We start from the raw sequence: 19,421 nt of genomic DNA on the forward strand, positions 1-19,421 counted from the left end.
TCACATCACAGGATTCTTTGTAGACACTCCCCAGTACAAGCCTGAAGCCCTGGTGGCTCCACTGGGTGGCTGGACCCAGAAGAGCAATAATAGTCACTGCAGTCCAGCTCTCAGGAAGCCCCATCTCTAGTGGAAGGAGGAGAGCACCACATCAAGAGAACACCACATGAGACAAAAGAATCTGAACAGTAGCCCTTGAGCCCCAGATCCTTCCTCCAACATAGTCTAGCCAAATGAGAAGGAACCAGAAAAACAATTCTGGCAACATGACAAAGCAAGGTTCTTTAACACCCCCAAAAGATCACATTAGTTCACCAGCAATGAATCCAAACCAAGAAGAAATCTCTGAATTGCCAGAAAAAGAATTCAGAAGATCAATTATTAAGCAACTCAAGGAAGCACCAGAGAAAGGTGAAAATCAACTTAAAGAAATTTGAGAAATAATACAGGATATGAACAAAACAAACTCCAGAAAAATAGATAGCATCAACAACAAAAAAATCACAACTTCTGGAAATGAAAGACACACTTAGGGAAATACAAAATACACTGGAAAGTTTCAACAAAATCAAACAAGTAGAAGAAAGAACTTAAGAGCTCAAAGACAAGGTGTGAGAATTAACAATAGTAATGCCATTTTTCCACCTTGGTGATTGTGTTTTCTACCTTGGTGACAGTGTTTCCAGAAACAAAGCAAATGTCAACCTCACCGGTACCTTTAACGGAGCATAACAATCCTGACCACAACAAAGACTGACTGGCCCTTACCACATCCTTTCCCAGCCCCTTACAGTTCCAACCTTCCAGCACTTCCCCAACCCCTCTCTTGTAGAAACTTTATTATAAAAACCTCAGCTTTAAGCTATCAGGGTCTCCACCAGATTCCTGACGGAAACCCCTTGCAGGCTTATTCCTGTGAATAAACCTGTTTGGCCATTGAGATGCTTTCTCTCCATTGCTCTCTTGTTTTTATTTTCCTAACACCAGGTTTTCAAATTAACCCAATCCAACAAAGACAAAGAAAAAAAGAATTTTTGAAAGATGAACAAAGCCTCCAAGAAATTTAGAATTATGTTAAATGACCAAACCTGAGAATAATCGGTGTTCCTGAGAAAGAAGAGAAATCTAAAAGTTTGGAAAACTTTTAGATGTGGGCATGGATGTGGTGCGAAGGGAACACTTTTACACTGCTTGTGGGAATGTAAACTAGTACAACCACTATTGAAAACAGTAGGGAGATTCCTTAAAGAACTAAAAGTAGATCTACCATTTGATCCAGCAATCCCACTCCTGAGTATCTACCCAGAGGAAAAGAAGTCATTATGTGAAAAATACTTGCACGCATATGTTTATAGCAGCACAGTTCACAATTGTGAAAACATGGAACCAGCCCAAATGCCCATCAGTCAACAAGTGGATAAGGAAAATATGGTACATATATATATATATATATATATATATATATATATATATATATATACACACACACACACACAAATATATATATATACTATGGAATAATACTTAGCCATAAAACGGTCTAAAATAATGGCATTTGCAGCAACCTGGATGGAATTGGAAACCATTATTGTAAGTGAAGTAACTCAGGAATGGAAAACCAAACATTGTATGTTTTCACTTATAAGTAGGAGCTAAGGTACGAGGAGGCAAAGGCATAAGAATGATACAATGGACTTTGGGGACTTGAGGGGAAGGATGGGAGGGGGTGAGGGATAGAAAATTACACATTGGATACAGTGTACACTGCTCTGGTGATGGGTACACCAAACTCTCAGAAATCACCACTAAAGAACATGTCCATGTAACCAAACCTGTTCCCCAAAAACCTACTGAAATATAAAAAAATGAGTTGATTAGCAGAACAATTATTTTGTAGTAACCATCCACAAATTGTTGTCCAACTTCAGGAGAATGCTGTGCCCAGTGTCAGCCAGGCCATGGAGAAGGAAATAACCTTGCCAGGAGAAAGGAGTAGCCTGTGAATCTACTCAGGATATGGCCAGACCCGCCCATGCAGCCTCTAGTGAACAAAGCTCACCCTTAATCCACCCCACTCCGCAGTCATACATATTTGAAAATGCATTTTTGGTCACAGGAGTACTTGGTGCTAGAATAGGAATGAGCCAGCACAACTGCTATCAGAAAACTCTCAGATACTATGGATGATGATGCCACATCATGCTGTCCCTGAGGTTGCCTAGGCAGGTCTGGCCATGTCCTGGGTAGAGTCCCAGGCTACTTCTTTCTCCTGGCAAGAGCACTGGGCTTGCTGACACTGAGCACACCATTCTCCCTAGGGTGGACTCTGATGTTGTGGATGCACGAGAGAATTGTTCTACTAATCAATTCAACTTAATTCAATCTCAACTTGTCTCAGCTCAAGTTAGCTTTGTTCAGCTCATCGGGATTCTGCTCAACTCAACTTTACTCAGCATAATTCATCTGATGCATGCATCTAGGCTTCCCATAAAGCATTTCTTAAGTACTTACCTGTCAAAGTCTGCATTGAGTCTGGGAATCCAGCTGGGGTTGCTTCCACCAACCAATCCACCTCCCTGTTCTAATCTAAATGGTATCTGTGTATTGTGGAGAGAACACTGGACCTACAGCAGGACTGCCCTATGTTCTCAACTTAGCCCTGCCATTTACTTACTGCCTTAGGCAATTTTCTTAACCTTTCTGAGCCACAATTTTCTCATCGGTAATGCAGGAATAAAAATAATACCTAATTTGTGGAGGGTTTGTCAGAATTAAATTCATAGAAGGCACTCACAAATGGTATCCATTAAATCCTCCCTCTATGGACCTATAGGAAAGACTAAGCAGAAAAAAGAAAATGACCCAAAGCTCATCTGAACACCTGGAGAACAGGACAACTCACTAGAAAGTTGTTTACTAGTGAACTATGGTGTGGTCCCATCCCCACCGCCATAGTGCAGTCCCAGGTCTTGTGTCTGCTGTAGATTCTCCATGTTCCTAAAGGTCTTTTTTGACAACTGCACCGAATTATTTTTGGGAAATTGCCATGACATTTACCCAAGTTACTTTCTTTGCATCCCTGGGCTCAACCTGACTCTCGATTTCATGTGCTCAGAATCAGTACCCGTGCATTTGAGTTCATCTTTAGCATTGCACTTGGTGCTATGCCAGTTCTTCATCATTAGCCCATTCCCTTACAAACAGGGAGAAGGAATGGAGAACAAAGGGAACAGAAAGAGTGGTGGCAACCTATTCAGCCCAGCAGTCCAGCAGAAGACTGGCAGAGGCAAAATTAAGGACACCCTGTAGATTGATAGCAGAGGAAAAGGAGACAAAATTTTTAAAATGAGCAGCGGGACATCCAAGAAAGTGAAGCCACATCAGGGTGGGTTCCCCCAAGCGTAGATGTACGCTCTTGCCTCCACAACATAGACCACCATGTCATTAAACATCACACACCATCAGTGCCAACTGTGATCTGAAAATGGGTGGGCATCTGAGTCACATGATACCCAGTGTTCTGTATTCTTGGGTCCTTAAACTTAGGAAGGCTTTGCCTTGATCACTCGTTGTTCCCCACTTGTTGCTAAAATCAAAGCCAGGTTTCTCATCTAAAAGAATGCCTTCAGTTCAGATGCTACAGGCTTATCTCACGTGAATATCCTCTTCCCTTAGGTATTCGATGGTCTCAGATGCAGAAACAGAAAGCATTTTCATGGAACCCATTCACCTCTCCTCAGCCATTGCAGCCAAACAGATCATCAATGAAGGTAATGCAATCAAAAGCTGGGTGGAAGCAAAGTCCAGTGGTCATCTGGAGACCCTTAGAGGGGGGCCATTGGAAGACGTCAATGTGCCTCTCAGGTGCTGCCCATCACGTTAGGAAGAGCAGATCTGCAGAAGGCAGTTCTGCCAACCCTACCTCCTCAACTTTGATAGGATGGAAGTGGAAATAATTATGCATCAGTGTGAACAGGGACAACCAGAGAGGCAGCACCAATCTGTCCCTAGGGCCTCCTGCTCAATTTTTGGTTACCTCAGGGGTCCTGAGGTGGCTTATGGCAGAGGCACAGACCTGAGAGCCCGAGAAATGGCCAGAAGCATCCAGAGGGTTCTCTTCCAAGGGAGTCTAGACTTAGACCTGCACTTCCACCAGTGCTTAAAGATGCTTCAAACTGAAGGATGCATGGGGAGGAGGGAAAGGCTTGGGTGGGGAGCACCCAATATTCAATATGTTAATATTTACACAGTAAAATTTTGAAGCAGACAACATATAGTTATTTTTCACTCAAAGATACTTATCTGGATTAGATGAATTTTTTTCTAATCAATTTTAAGGAAATAATCTTTTGCAATTTCTTTCTTCCCCTTTCTTCTCCCTTCTCCCTGGGTAGCCTCACAACTCTGGTGAGATGGGGTGGAGTGGGATAAAGTGCACACTGATGAAGCAGGGCCCAGCTGGCCTTTGGGCTTAATCTCTCAACCACCGCTGGTGGCCACAATCCTTTCCTTGGTCTTTCATTATTAGAATCACATGCTACTCTTTGTCCATTCTAACTCTGGTACTGGTCCCCTGACCCATTTGGGTCTCCACCAGGGTCTCTAGAGGACATTTGGACCTCTTGCACACTTCACATAGAACCAGAAATTTGACTTGCTGTTGCTCACTGTTCTGGGCACTCTAGGAGGCCCCATCTTCTCAAAGACCCATCTGCTTTGGGGGATTTTTTTTCTTTTTCTTCCATACCTGGGGTCTCTGTTGTCTTGCTCCAAGATATCTTGTCCCAAGATATCTTGCCCACTAACCCAGGCAGTGTCTTCACCCTGGTCCAGTTCTCTCTGAATTGCTCCCAGCACCACTATAGCTCTAGAAAGTCTTTTCTTCCTCTTTTGTGGTTGGAAATTTCCCTAACCTTCCACTCTGCATCATCTCTGCTTTGTGCTTCATTCTGTGGACCATTCTCCATGTTTTGGTTCTTGATAAGTAAAAGTCCAGCTTTAGGAATTGAGGGGAGAAAAAAAATAAAAAACATTTTCTCTCTTTGAAAGCTTCACTTTCAAGTCTATAGAATGCTATGGACATTCAGTCTAGTTTGAAGCCAAAAGATGTGCAATGCCTTGTTTTATCCTGGCTCTTTTCTATTCTTCCCTTCTCTGGGGGCATCAAACCTAAGTTTCATTAGCCTTAGTGGCTGAAGGGCTATAGGGAGAGAAAAAACAATATATGCTCACTAGTGATTACAGGGGTAAAAATGTGTGCTGAAAACCTTCCGTTTTAATGAAAGTCTGCATATGCCACACATCCGAGAGTGTAGGGGAGAAATGTGTGGGCTTTACTTTCTGCTGAAGAAATGTCAGGTAATAGAAAGAAATTGATGCAGGGAGAGAGGCAAGCTCTACAGAGGCTGAAGTGTGAACCAGAGACCTAGTGAAAGCAGGAGTTGCCATCAGGGGTGAAGGGCTGGGACATTTGTTTTTAAATTGAAAAGAAAAGAAATGGAAACAACAACCTGCTAGATAAATAGCCGAGGAAGACAACACCGTGTATTTTAATGAGGTGTCAGGAGTCCCACTTTTTATATGTAGTAAGGGAAAGACATCTAAGTAGACACGGGAAGGGGAGCGGACTGAATTTGCTATGAAAGACCCCAGGAGAGCCAGGGGAGAAAACTGGGTAGTGGAGAAAATAGGAACACTTCATCTATTTTTAAACAAAATAGAGCTCTGGGATTGCAGGAGTTTTCTTCTTTCTGCGTTTGAAACGGAGATCAGAGAACGTTTAGAGCTGAGCCCTGATGCAGGGATGTGGGGGTCCCTCAGGGGGGTTAGAGGAGGGAAGAGAGAAGGGAAATGAAATCCTGAGCCCTAGGCAGAACCCAAGGCTCCCTGGATTTGCAGTCCATGAGCAACAAGCCCTGCTTACAGACCCCTGGGAGGAGCAGATTCCACGAGGGGCTGGACCAAGTCTACCTTCCAAATGTGGCTGGACTCTCTGCAGCCCCCACCCAGAGACTGCCCATCAGGGAAGAGATGGTGCCATCAAGAGGCTATGGGGAACACAGAGGAAACATCTTTCCAGCTTCTTTTCTCTCTCTCTCTCTATTCAGTATTTTGGCTACCATGTGAGAGGAACGATTTTGTTCTTTGTTATTTTTGTCTAACTTAAAGAAAGAAAGCATCTTACATTTCCCCAAATTTGATAAACTGTGAGCAAATATATTATTAGAAGATAAAGATTCACCCCAGATGTGAGTGAATTGGGGTTTGAGTTCATCTGGAGTTTGAGCTTTTCTGACCTGTTGTCAGAAAGGCCCTGAGTCACGTTTTGAGATTAGAATGAGAGCTCATGGCCAACCTTTGCCACCTGTCTGTGGGCTGGGAGGCTGAGAATCATAGGTCCTTACATTCTAGTAGGGGGAAGAAGACAATACAAGAAATAAATCAGTAAATTAGGTGTATATTAGAAGGCAATATTGCATAAATTACTGCTGAAAGTTTTACTTTTCCCAGGGTTATTTGCAATCCATATGTAAAAGAGTCAAACTAACAGAGTGAATTATACTATGAATGAATGCCATTCACTCATTTGGTAAATACTTCTACTTTTTTTTTTTTGGTTTTTTTTTTTTTTTTTGAGACAGAGTTTCGTTCTTTTTGCCCAGGCTGGAATGCAATGGCATGCTCTCAGCTCACTGCAACCTCCATTTCCCAGGTTCAAGTGATTCTCCTGCCTCAGCCTCCCAAGTAGCTGGGATTACAGGCACTCTCCACCACGCTTGGCTAATTTTGTATTTTTGTAGGGACAGTGTTTCACCATGTTGGTCAGATTGGTCTTGAACTGCTGACCTCAGGTCATCTGCCCACCTTGGCCTCCCAAAGTGCTGGGGTTACAGACGTGAGCCACTACGCCTGGCTGGTAAACACTTCTGAGCATCCACTTTGTACTGGGCACTGTGGGAGTTATTAAGTATGAATCAAAGTACACCTAATACTTAAGGAACTTGGTCTAAAAAATTATCGACCAGCTTCAGAGAAGCATGGGAGGGAGTAAAAGAAATTGGATCCCCTTTACCCACATCTATACAGTCTTCTTGCTGACCCTGATTACAAGTGTTTGGGCCAGTGCAGCAGGTACCCTGGGCCCAATTAAAGTCCTTCCTGGGAGATCCTGCTGGCATTCAGTCCATGCCCAGAATCCTGGCAGCAAACTGGCCAAGAGCATGTTCTCCCCAGGAACAAGGAAGGCCATGATGTTCCTAACTCTCTGATGAGAATGCTGCCTGTCTCCTCTAGAACTCAAGCCACCGGGGGTCAGAGCAGACGCAGAGTGTCCAGGCATGCTGGAGTCTGCTGAACAGCTGCTGGTGGAGGACCTGTACAACCGCGTCAGGGAGAAGATGGATGACACCAGCCTCTATAATACGCCCTGTGTCCTGGACCTACAGCGGGCCCTGGTTCAGGATCGCCAAGAGGCGCCCTGGAATGAGGTGGATGAGGTCTGGCCCAATGTCTTCATAGCTGAGAAGTGAGTCTGACTGCTCTTCATGACCCTTTGTCCTAACCCTCTGGTTAGTGCCTGAGACAGACGAAACTCCCCCAACTTTCACCAAAGGCGCCCATAGGTCCATCCAGCACAATGAGGCTGCCTAGCCACTTACCCTGCCCCAGCCCAGAGAAAGGCCCCTCCATCCACCTGCATTCGGAGGTCTCCAGGCAAGATGCCGCCATGACTGCTTATCCTTTGCCCTCTTGCCAGGACTCTCTTGTCCCTCAAGAAGGCCTCTGGGCCTCCTTTCCTGCCACAGAGTCTTGCCGACTTCACCATCTCATGACATCTGTAGCTACCACAGAACCGGACACTAGGAGCCATTGACAATAATACTGACATGCATATGTAATTACCAACATTGGAAAATGTTCACAATACAGTAAGAAAGAATTAGATTACAAGAGAAGACATGTACAGTGTGCTGCTAATTGAGCAACAGATGTATGTGTATGTGTGTGCATGTTTTTGCATAGACAACAGTTAGGAAATGTGAGAAAATGTGAACAATGTTTCTCTCTGGGAGGTGTTTTTACAAGCAGTTTTTATTTTCTTCTTTAGATTTCCTTTAACTTGTACAGGTTTCCTAAGGTAGACATTGTTTTTATAATCCAAAAACTATTATTTTCTAAAAGTTTATCAGCGGTTTCCAGAACAAAAACAACTCACTCACATCCTATTTCTTTAGGATGCCAGTGCATAATTGCGACCACTTGGTTAATTAGTGAAACAAATTTTTGCTGACTCATCGAATACTTAATGAGATGTTTTCCCAGTGTAATTATCCAGATATCCAGAAGCAAAGGAGGAAATTTGGCCTCAGGGGAGGGAATAGGGAAAACAGCTTTGAACAGTGGGTCTTATCTTCACCAAGGAGTAATCAGTTGCCTAGAACTTGATCCTCAGAGCTGGGCACCAAGTCTTAAGTGATCTTTAAATAGATCTTCAGATACAGAAGCATTCATCTTACGGTCACTAAGAACCCAGGCATCGCCAGGTATCCTCAGCTAAAAGCTTTTGTTCCTTCTCGGACAACCTGTCCTCAGGGCCTCTTCAAACTAAGCTGCACTTATTCAGCTACAGCAAAAAGAGCTCTGAACTAGAAATCTAAAACACTAGTTCTTGTTGTCTTTTTCTCCTTTCACAATCTTGGGAAGTTATAAGAGCTCTCAGATTGAGTTTTATAATCTTCAAATGGGAATAAAACTAGAGTTCCTGTCTACTTCTTAAGTTTATTGTTAGGATAACATAAAATAATGCATGTGAAAGGATTTTGACAATTATAGCATGCCATATTAATGTGGAATACACTTAATTTTATTATTTGTGCCTACCACTTTTGTGCCTTGATGAATGTCCATTCCCAAGGCATGGGGTTTTAAACTAGAAGTCTCTGGATCATTCAAATGTTTCCTTACACATCATTTTGTTGGCCTCTTCATCTCGCCCTTCCTTGCCTAACTGCATGTCTTTTCTCCCTTTTGCTGAGGCCAAGTCATCAACTCTTTCTATAATGGTATTTGCAGTGATCCCCAGACAACCAGGGGCAGAAAAGGAGGCACTTGCCCAGCTGTGGCCCTAGACTGGCTGAGGCAGGCTCACCGTCACAGTGGTGACACACCTTTCTAGTTCCGACTCTTGCAAACAGGTCCCTGCCTCTTCCCGCAGGAGTGTGGCTGTGAACAAGGGGAGGCTGAAGAGGCTGGGAATCACCCACATTCTGAATGCTGCGCATGGCACCGGCGTTTACACTGGCCCCGAATTCTACACTGGCCTGGAGATCCAGTACCTGGGTGTAGAGGTGGATGACTTTCCTGAGGTGGACATTTCCCAGCATTTCCGGAAGGCGTCTGAGTTCCTGGATGAGGCGCTGCTGACTTACAGAGGTGAGAGGGATCTGCCGCTCCAGGCTGCTGGAATTCCACGGGGGAAAAGTAATGTGGGGAATGTTATGAAAACCTGATTAGTTGGCGTGTGTGAGGGGTATCTGTCTTAAGAAGGCTGTTTTCTCTAAGAAAAGGAGAAAAGACAGGATAATCATTCATCCAGTAAGTAATTACTGAGTGCCTAGCAAGTGCCAACTACTATTCTAGGCACTGTGGTGAAAGACACAGGCAACGCTTCCAGCCTTTGACTGTTACACTGTAAGAGGGGACAGAAAATGAAAAAAAGAGAAAAAAATGTCAGATGGTGATAAGTGTGAGGCAGAGACTAACTAGAACAATGTGCTAGAGTGACTGACTAGCTCCTTGGAGAGCATGGGGGAGGAGGCCTTCTGACAATGGGACATTTAAGCCAAGTGACAAAGGGCTAGCCATGGGAGAACTGGAAGAAGAGCATTCCTGCAGAAGAGAACTAGTAGTGCAAAGATCCAAAGGTGGAAAGCTTGGTGTGTTCAGGAATCAAAGGCCAGTGTCGATGAGCATGGTGGATGAAGGTTGAAGTGGCAGAGGTTCCCCATCAAACAGGAAGCTAAAAGCCAGGGTAAGAAGTTGGAGCGGCACCTTGATCTGATTTATGTTTTGGAAAACTCCCTCCCTCCACCTTGGAGAACAGACCGAGTTGGGAAGGTAGAGAGTAGTGCTTTGGGGTTGCTATTGCTATATCCAAGTGAAAGGTGACATGAGACTAGTCTGCAGAGGTCACAGGCCTCAGGGAGGAGAGGTGGAGCCCAGGCAATGGGGCCGACAGCCTGGCTGGGAAGAGTTGAGGATATGGTGTCCAGAAACCTGGGTTTGAGTCCAGGATTTGCTACACTGTATATACAATGTGACCTTGGGCCATTTCCTTTAGCCCTAGGAACTGCAGAGAACAAAGACAAAAATATCAAATCCTAAAGTTGCTGTGAGGAATAACGTTTTAAAAATGCATATAAAATAACTCCCTTGGGACAACACCTGGCACAATAAATGCTTTAAAAATTATAGCCATTGCTATAATAATATTGTTAATGATTTCCTGGAAAGGGCATTGCCTGTCACCACCAATGGCCAGGTTGGGTAACTTCTAAGGGAAAATACAAGCACACATATTTTCTTTTTTTTAATTATTTTTACTTTTTATTTTTAGAGACAGGATGCAGCTCTGTTGCCCAGGCTGCTGGAGTGCTCACTATAGCCTTGACCTCCTGGGCTCAAGCGATCCTCCCACCTCGGCCTCCCAAAGTGCTGAGATTACAGGCGTGAACCACCATGCCTGGCCAAATACACATATTTTAAATATGTATATGTATGTGTGCGTGTAAATTACATATATATATATATATATATATATATATATATATATATATATATATATATATATATACAGAGAGAGAGAGAGGTATGTATGTGTATATATACAGACATGTATACACATATACATATATACACACATACACACACTCACATATATATACAGTTTTCAGTTTTCTCCTTTTTTCAATGCTTAAAAACTCCTTTTTTTTTTTTAGGCGGAGTCTCGCTCTTGTCGCCCAGTCTAGAGTGCAATGGTGCCATCTACGGCTCACTGCAACCTCTGTCTCCTGGGTTCAAGCGATTCTTCTGCCTCAGCGTCCCGAGTAGCTGGGATTACAGACTCCCACTACCACGCCCAGCTAATTTTTGTATTTTTAGTAGAGAGGGGATTTCGCCATATTGGCCAGAGTGGTCTCGAACTCCTAACCTCAGGTGATCCGCCCGCCTCGGCCTCCAAAAGTGCTGGAATTACAATAAGCCACCGCGACCGGCCAAAAAACTCCTTCTTTTTAAAATGTAGGACGTTTGACCAACGTGGGATTGAATGGGTCTGTCGGTCGCCTGCGGCGTAAGGAGTGTGTCCCACCTCGCTCGCAGGTCCTGGAGCGCACCGGCAGACCTCGAGGCGGAGCGGGTACGCTCGCAATAGCTCCAGGCGTGTGGACACGGCCACGAGCCGGCGGTCCCCCGCAGCATCCCAGGGCGGATGAGGCAGATCCCAGAATGTGGAACGCATCCCAGAAGCGATAGCCAGCCTTGGAGGGTGGAGGGAGGAAGAACGAGCCCAAACGCGGAGGCGGAGTCGGTGCCAGGAGCCGCGAGGGCTCAGCAGGAAGTTTCCTGTCGCGGGTGTAACCCAGGCGCTGCCTTCCCTGCAGCATACCCAAGGCGGGCTGGGTCATGCTGGCCAGGAGCCAGCGCGTCAGCTACCCCGGCCGGAGACCGTAGGTCGGAGCGCTGAGTGTCCAGATCCCTTGCAGGGTCCAGTGCGCCCTGCGGGCATCTCCTCCCGATTCAGCCTCACTCTCCCTGCCAGGCAGCGAAAGGCCCTTATTGTTGCTGTGCTTGTTGCTTTTGTGGGTCCTTCCTACTCCACTACAGAGAGTTCGTGGCATCCCTAGAATTACTCCCTGAGCCTTAGGTCCTGTGGTTTTCTCTGCTTTAGGAGACTTGGGAGTCAGTTCTTGACCAGAACAGGGAAAGAAACACCTGGCGCCGGCGTTTTACATGATAATCACAAAGAGCCTATGAGGGGGTGTTGTTATTTACATTGTACACACTGGGAAGTTGAGACCTATGGAAGATTAAGTGGTGACTTTGTATGGTGCACGGTGTAATAATCAAGACTCTCTTGGTTGCTAGTGGGTGGAAACCATCTCAAACTCCTTCACAAGCAGCAAAGGCATTAATTCTGAAGATGCAGGAAAGAAGCCAAAGACAGGAGCCTGGCACGCCGGGCAGGCCTGGAACAAGGACTGGACGATCTCAGGACTCTTGGTTTCCCTCTTCTTTCTCTCTCTACTTCAGATAGCAAATGGCCATCCACAGGCCTGACATTAAACTAGCTAATTTCCTGCCTCAGTCCCATTTCCAAATTTCCTGGCGAATTTGTCAGATACTGGTCTTTTTGTGTACCCTGAGTTCCATCAGCAGTGGCAAGTGGGGTGGCTTCTGGGCAAATACAGGTGTGGAGGGGGATACCTTCTGAAGAAAGGGGGAATTATGAATTGGGAGGGTATAGCACAATTGCCTGCCATATAAAGACATACTGAGAGTGTAGAGAATTCAAATCCAGGCTTGCTCAAATCTGATGCTCTCCCCAGTAGCTGTACTCTTAAAAAAAAAATTTTTTTTTGAAGGTCCTTTTTTTGAGACAGAGTCTCACTCTGTCACCCAGGATGGAATGCAGTAATGTGACCTCAGCTCACTACCTCCGCCTCCCAGATTCAAGCGATTCTCAGGCCTCAGCCTCCTGAGTAGCTGCAATTCCAGGCACGCACCACTACTGCTCAGCTAATTTTTGTATTTTCAGTATTGACAAGGTTTTACCATGTTGGCCAGGCCAGTCTCAAACTCCTGATCTCAAGTGATCCACCACCTCGGCCTCCCAGGGTACTGAGATTACAGGTGTGAGCCACTGCACCCAGCCTGTACTTTCCAAATTTTAAAAACAGGGACCCTCTTCACAATCAGCCCTGCTGGTAATCAAAATGGTAACTCTGCTAATTAGAAAAACACTACCTTCCTCAAACCATTTTACTGTTGGAAAAATTTTCACCATAACCCAAGTGTATTTTGATATTTTGATTTTGATGTGAAGAGGCCCCCTAGAGTTGTGCAGAGAAGAATCTATACAGCATCAGCCTGCCTCTAACAGAGAAGACAGAAAATCCTGTTGCTGCTTTGGATGAAGTGGGTAAACATCCCTGAGTCTCACCCACCCAGCCTCTCTCTTGTCCCTCTGGCTGCCCTTTAGGCTCCTCAGAGGAGTCCCAGTGTGCTAGGAACACAGCAGGAAAAATGTGGCACCCCAACCTGGTCTCCGCCAGACTGAGTCTAAGTAGTATTTGATGCTCCTATGAAGAAGACTGGCTGGTCATGTCCTGAAGTGTCCTGAAGTGAGTTGGTCTCGTGATTCCACCTCCAAAGAAAACCAGTGAGACTTAGAGACTAGCCACAGTATATGGTAGCCTGGTCAGAGGGTGGAGGGGAGGTCCTTGTAAGGGACAGCTAAGCCCTGACTGAGGACGAGAGGAGAAAAAAGACAAGTGCTTCTATAGATGCTCCTTATAAGGCTTTTACTTGTTTTTCTTTTTCTTTTTTAAGAAACAGAATCTCACTCTGTTGCCCAGGTTGGAGTGCACTGGTATGATCTCAGCTCACTGTAGCCTTTGCCTCCTGGGTTTAAGTGATTCTCCTGCCTCAGCCTCCCGAATAGCTGGAATTACAGGTGCTCTCCACCACGCCCAGCTAATTTTTGTATTTTTAGTAGAGACAGGGTTTTGCCATGTTGGCCAGGCTGGTCTTGAATTCCTGGCCTCAAGTGATCCACCCACCTCGGCCTCCCAAAGTGCTGGGATTACAGATGTAAGCCACCACACCCTTGTTTGTTTATTTTTGAGACAGGGTCTCATTCTGTTGCCTGAGCTGGAATGCAATGGGACAATCACCACTCACTGCAGCCTCAACCTCCTGGGCTCAAGTGATCCTCCCACCTCAGCCTCCCAAGTAGCTGAGACTACAGGCGCTTGCCATGGTTTTTTGTTTTTGTTTTTTTTAGAGACGAGGTTTCGCTATGTTGCCAGGCCGGTCTCAAACTCCTGGCCTCAAGCGATCCTCTAACTTGTCCTCCCAAAGTGCTGGGATTACAGGTATGAGCCACCACACCCTGGCCTGTGGCTTTGACTCTGCTGATTTACCTCCCTCTAGTGGCTGCTGGCTCTTGGCAATAACACCTTTCATCATTACTGGGCCTCAAGTCCCCTGAATTTTCTGTCTCTGACCTCCTGTGTGACCAAGACATGACCTTAACTGCTGCAAAGATATAATACTGAAAGAGTCACCTCCCATCTCATATTGTTAGAGAGGATTTTTAACTGAATTAGCAAACATCCCCAAAGACTGTTGGCAAGTAGATTGATGAGAGCAGGGAGGAAGGTCTCCAGTGGTCCCAGTCTGCATTTTAAACAGCTATTACAATGAAGGCATAGGAGGCATATTTGTCACATTCATGAAGGATGCAAAGCCGAAAAGGAGGCCAGGAGCAGGTAACTGATCTGTTGAATGGTAGAGTCAAGACTCGCAAAAGCTCCTGTAGGCTATAAAAACAGACATCCACCAAAAGATGTTAGTAGGAATTTGTGAAATTATCCTTAAGTTTAAAAATGACTGCACATTAAAAGGAACACGACTTAATTGCAGTTTTTAAAAAACGTTTTACAGGTTTCAGTTGACGGATGTAAAAGATAACTTGAGTTCATTGTGTGACATATCCTCCCATATTGCAAGTTTATATGGTATCAGTAAAGCCCCAGTGACCCAAACAAGGGTGGGGAAGGGCCCATTCTACTCTATGTGAGTGAGTCAGTCCAAACCTGAAATATCTTGCTCCATCCTGAGTACAAACTCCTAAAAAAAAAAAAAAAAAAACCCTGATAAATTCAAGTTTTGACCTAGAGGAAAGTAGCTAGAATAGTAAGGGAACATGAGAAGATGTTCAAATAATGTTTGAAGGACTCAAAATAGCCAGGAAAAGAAAAATATATATATTTCGGGAAGAATATGATAGCAATCTTGTTAAGGATTTTTGTATAAAAGCCCTGTTTCATACAATGTATCCATAGTTGACTTTATAATGTCAGAGCAGGAGTACTGGATGCTTGTTACAGAAATTTATACTTTTCCCTAACATATGAAAAAAATTTTGAAGCACTAGAGTGATCCAAAAATGGAGTGAATTGTGTCTATGTGTCCATGTGAGCTAATGAGCTCCCTGTCACTGGAAGCATTCAGCAGTGGCTGGATAACAGGTGTGACAGGTGATCCAGCATCAGGGATGTTGTAAAGGGAATTCTCAAGTTTAGGATGTGACTTATGATGCTTCCCAACACCAAGATTCTATTTCTCTGTGATTCATTTATCTTAGCTTCTCATTCCTTTTCTGCTTTATCACCCTTCCCCCTGTTCTTGTATTTCTCCTCCCTCTGTTGCTCGGTTTGTGAGGAGAAAGTAGAAATGCACTCCAGTGTTTCAAATACAGGGCCAGTGGGGATTGTGATGTCTCCCATCTGTAATATGGGGTCAGTGATGCTCAGCCCTCCTGTGTCTTGAGCCCGGATGAACTTCAGAGGCAAAGTAAACACCTTAAGTGCAGCATATTAAAACAGCACTTACCAAAGAAAACAAACAAACAAGAACACTACAAGGAAGCCACTGTCATTACATCATTTTCTCTTGTGTTTTCATTTCAGGGAAAGTCCTGGTCAGCAGCGAAATGGGCATCAGCCGGTCAGCAGTGCTGGTGGTCGCCTACCTGATGATCTTCCACAACATGGCCATCCTGGAGGCTTTGATGACCGTGCGTAAGAAGCGGGCCATCTACCCCAATGAGGGCTTCCTGAAGCAGCTGCGGGAGCTCAATGAGAAGTTGATGGAGGAGAGAGAAGAGGACTATGGCCGGGAGGGGGGATCAGCTGAGGCTGAGGAGGGCGAGGGCACTGGGAGCATGCTCGGGGCCAGAGTGCACGCCCTGACGGTGGAAGAGGAGGACGACAGCGCCAGCCACCTGAGTGGCTCCTCCCTGGGGAAGGCCACCCAGGCCTCCAAGCCCCTCACCCTCATAGACGAGGAGGAGGAGGAGAAACTGTACGAGCAGTGGAAGAAGGGGCAGGGCCTCCTCTCAGACAAGGTCCCCCAGGATGGAGGTGGCTGGCGCTCAGCCTCCTCTGGCCAGGGTGGGGAGGAGCTCGAGGACGAGGACGTGGAGAGGATCATCCAGGAGTGGCAGAGCCGAAACGAGAGGTACCAAGCAGAAGGGTACCGGAGGTGGGGAAGGGAGGAGGAGAAGGAGGAGGAGAGCGACGCTGGCTCCTCGGTGGGGAGGCGGCGGCGCACCCTGAGCGAGAGCAGCGCCTGGGAGAGCGTGAGCAGCCACGACATCTGGGTCCTGAAGCAGCAGCTGGAGCTGAACCGCCCGGACCACGGCAGGAGGCGCCGCGCAGACTCGATGTCCTCGGAGAGCACCTGGGACGCATGGAACGAGAGGCTGCTGGAGATTGAGAAGGAGGCTTCCCGGAGGTACCACGCCAAGAGCAAGAGAGAGGAGGCGGCAGACAGGAGCTCAGAAGCAGGGAGCAGGGTGCGGGAGGATGATGAGGACAGCGTGGGCTCTGAGGCCAGTTCCTTCTACAACTTCTGCAGCAGGAACAAGGACAAGCTCACTGCCCTGGAAAGATGGAAGATCAAGAGAATCCAATTTGGATTTCACAAGAAAGACTTGGGAGCGGGAGACAGCAGCGGTGAGCCCGGTGCAGAGGAGGCAGTAGGGGAGAAGAACCCCTCCGACGTCAGCCTGACAGCCTACCAGGCCTGGAAGCTGAAACACCAGAAGAAGGTGGGCAGTGAGAACAAGGAGGAGGTGGTGGAGCTCAGCAAGGGGGAGGACTCGGCCTTGGCTAAGAAGAGACAACGGAGGCTGGAGCTGCTGGAGAGAAGCCGGCAGACGCTGGAGGAGAGCCAGTCTATGGCAAGCTGGGAGGCGGACAGCTCCACGGCCAGCGGGAGCATTCCCCTGTCTGCGTTCTGGTCTGCAGACCCCTCAGTCAGCGCTGATGGGGACACGACGTCAGTACTGAGCACCCAGAGCCACCGCTCCCACCTGTCTCAGGCTGCAAGCAACATAGCGGGGTGTTCAACCTCCAACCCCACCACACCCCTGCCTAACCTGCCAGTGGGGCCTGGAGACACCATTTCCATTGCCAGTATCCAGAACTGGATTGCCAATGTAGTCAGTGAGACCCTTGCTCAGAAGCAAAATGAAATGCTGCTGTTGTCCCGCTCACCGTCTGTTGCAAGCATGAAGGCAGTACCAGCGGCTAGCTGCCTGGGGGATGACCAAGTCTCCATGCTTAGTGGACACAGCAGCTCCTCCTTGGGTGGCTGCCTGTTGCCTCAGAGCCAGGCAAGACCCAGCTCTGACATGCAGTCTGTGCTGTCCTGCAACACCACACTGAGCTCACCCGCGGAAAGTTGCAGAAGCAAAGTGAGGGGGACCAGCAAGCCCATCTTCAGCCTCTTTGCTGACAATGTGGACCTAAAGGAACTTGGCCGGAAGGAGAAGGAGATGCAGATGGAGCTTAGGGAGAAGATGTCTGAGTACAAAATGGAAAAGCTGGCCTCAGACAACAAACGCAGCTCCCTCTTCAAGAAGAAGAAGGTCAAGGAAGATGAGGATGATGGTGTGGGTGATGGGGATGAGGACACTGACAGTGCCATAGGGAGCTTCCGATATTCTTCCCGCAGTAATTCCCAGAAACCTGAAACAGACACATGCTCCTCCCTGGCTGTCTGTGATCACTATGCAAGTGGCAGCAGAGTTGGCAAAGAGATGGATAGCAGTATTAATAAGTGGCTCAGTGGCCTCAGGACGGAGGAAAAACCTCCTTTCCAAAGTGACTGGTCTGGAAGTTCCAGAGGGAAGTACACCAGATCGTCCCTGCTCAGGGAGACAGAGTCTAAATCCTCCAGTTACAAGTTTTCCAAATCCCAGTCAGAGGAACAGGACACCTCCTCCTACCACGAGGCAAATGGCAACTCTGTAAGAAGCACTTCACGGTTCTCATCTTCCTCCACCAGGGAGGGCAGAGAGATGCACAAGTTCTCCAGGTCCACGTACAACGAGACCTCAAGTTCCCGAGAGGAGAGCCCAGAGCCCTACTTCTTCCGCCGGACCCCAGAGTCCTCAGAAAGGGAAGAGTCCCCAGAACCACAGCGCCCAAATTGGGCCAGGTCCAGGGACTGGGAAGATGTGGAAGAGTCATCCAAGTCAGACTTCTCTGAATTTGGAGCCAAGAGGAAGTTCACCCAGAGCTTTATGAGGTCTGAAGAAGAGGGAGAGAAAGAGAGGACAGAAAACAGAGAAGAAGGGAGGTTTGCATCTGGACGGCGGTCCCAGTATCGGAGAAGCACTGACAGGGAGGAAGAGGAAGAAATGGACGATGAAGCCATCATTGCTGCTTGGAGACGCCGGCAAGAAGAAACCAGGACCAAGCTGCAGAAAAGGAGGGAGGACTGAGCTGGGGAAAATCTGAGAACACTGAAAGAAACCACTCACGTTAGCATAGGGCTCAGGGCACACGTTGCCACCACTCATCGCAGGATGAGGATACAGAGAGGATCTTCCAGAGGGGCAGAGCCAAAATGAGAGGTACCAAGCATAAGGGCAGCAGAGGTGGAGTAGGGAGGAGGCAAGGAGGGGGAGAACCATCAATACGAATACGAGGTCCGAATGCGGACCAACTGATACCATTTTCTGTTGCTCAGCGCCCTCTAAGCTTTGGTGTTTCACTTAATGTATTTGGCAGTGTTCATCACAGGCTAGAGAGGTGAGCTTGGAAAAGCACTGTAGTTTGTCAGAGACTCCAGTTTACATCCAGAAAGGCCATGAACATAGGACACGCTTCTGTCTGTAGAGGCTTCATATGAGACCCAGAAAGTCTATCCTATGGCAAGTCTGACCTCTCCTGGCAATGCTCAGTTCTGATTTTTTTTTTTTTAATGTTTTGAGTCTCCATTAAAAATGGTATGTTGGCAAATAGTTCTTCTTTATTCTGGTCATGTTTAACTTTTTGGATATTAGAAGAAAACCACTTTAAAAGACACAAATGTATTATCCTGAGCCAGTCTCACCTTGTTTCACAAAAGCTGTGCCTCCAGACAATGCCATCATAGTCTCATTATAAAAAATAACAAACAAGTATTTGGCCTATGATACAATACAGCAGGAGATTACACTTGGAAAACCCTTGAGAGTAACAAAGGGAACTAGAGAAAGAGAGAATGAGTTTTATTGTGGTGAGAATGGCAAGATGTAAAGTAGAGAGAAGGCCTCTCTGGAAGGCAGAAAAACAAAAACAGAGCAT

General features: G+C 46.5%; 1 protein-coding gene across 2 annotated transcripts in view, besides 2 other annotated features; it reads left to right on the forward strand.

Annotated features, from left to right (window-relative positions):
• The window catches only part of STYXL2 (serine/threonine/tyrosine interacting like 2), a 35,091-nt gene extending 15,960 nt beyond the window's left edge, over nt 1–19,131 (forward strand). For both annotated transcript variants that reach the window (NM_001080426.3, XM_011510146.3), the window contains 4 exons: nt 3,676–3,770; nt 7,294–7,525; nt 9,215–9,432; nt 15,753–19,131. In NM_001080426.3, the coding sequence (NP_001073895.1) occupies nt 3,676–3,770; nt 7,294–7,525; nt 9,215–9,432; nt 15,753–18,574 (3,367 nt within the window). In that variant the 3' untranslated portion in view covers nt 18,575–19,131. The remainder of the gene's footprint in view (nt 1–3,675; nt 3,771–7,293; nt 7,526–9,214; nt 9,433–15,752) is intronic.
• Nucleotides 11,548–12,118: an enhancer, noted in NCBI's record as "H3K27ac-H3K4me1 hESC enhancer chr1:167090819-167091389 (GRCh37/hg19 assembly coordinates)". NCBI's record gives its function as "activates a minimal SCP1, AML or CMV promoter by ChIP-STARR-seq in primed H9 embryonic stem cells {active_cell/tissue: H9 hESC(primed)}" and the evidence as "EXISTENCE:reporter gene assay evidence [ECO:0000049][PMID:30033119]".
• Nucleotides 15,644–16,274: an enhancer, noted in NCBI's record as "H3K4me1 hESC enhancer chr1:167094915-167095545 (GRCh37/hg19 assembly coordinates)". NCBI's record gives its function as "activates a minimal SCP1, AML or CMV promoter by ChIP-STARR-seq in naive H9 embryonic stem cells {active_cell/tissue: H9 hESC(naive)}" and the evidence as "EXISTENCE:reporter gene assay evidence [ECO:0000049][PMID:30033119]".
• Nucleotides 19,132–19,421: the final 290 nt, after the last annotated feature.

The sequence above is a fragment of the Homo sapiens genome, chromosome 1 (assembly GCF_000001405.40).
Source record: "Homo sapiens chromosome 1, GRCh38.p14 Primary Assembly".
Classification (NCBI taxonomy): Eukaryota; Metazoa; Chordata; class Mammalia; order Primates; family Hominidae; genus Homo; species Homo sapiens.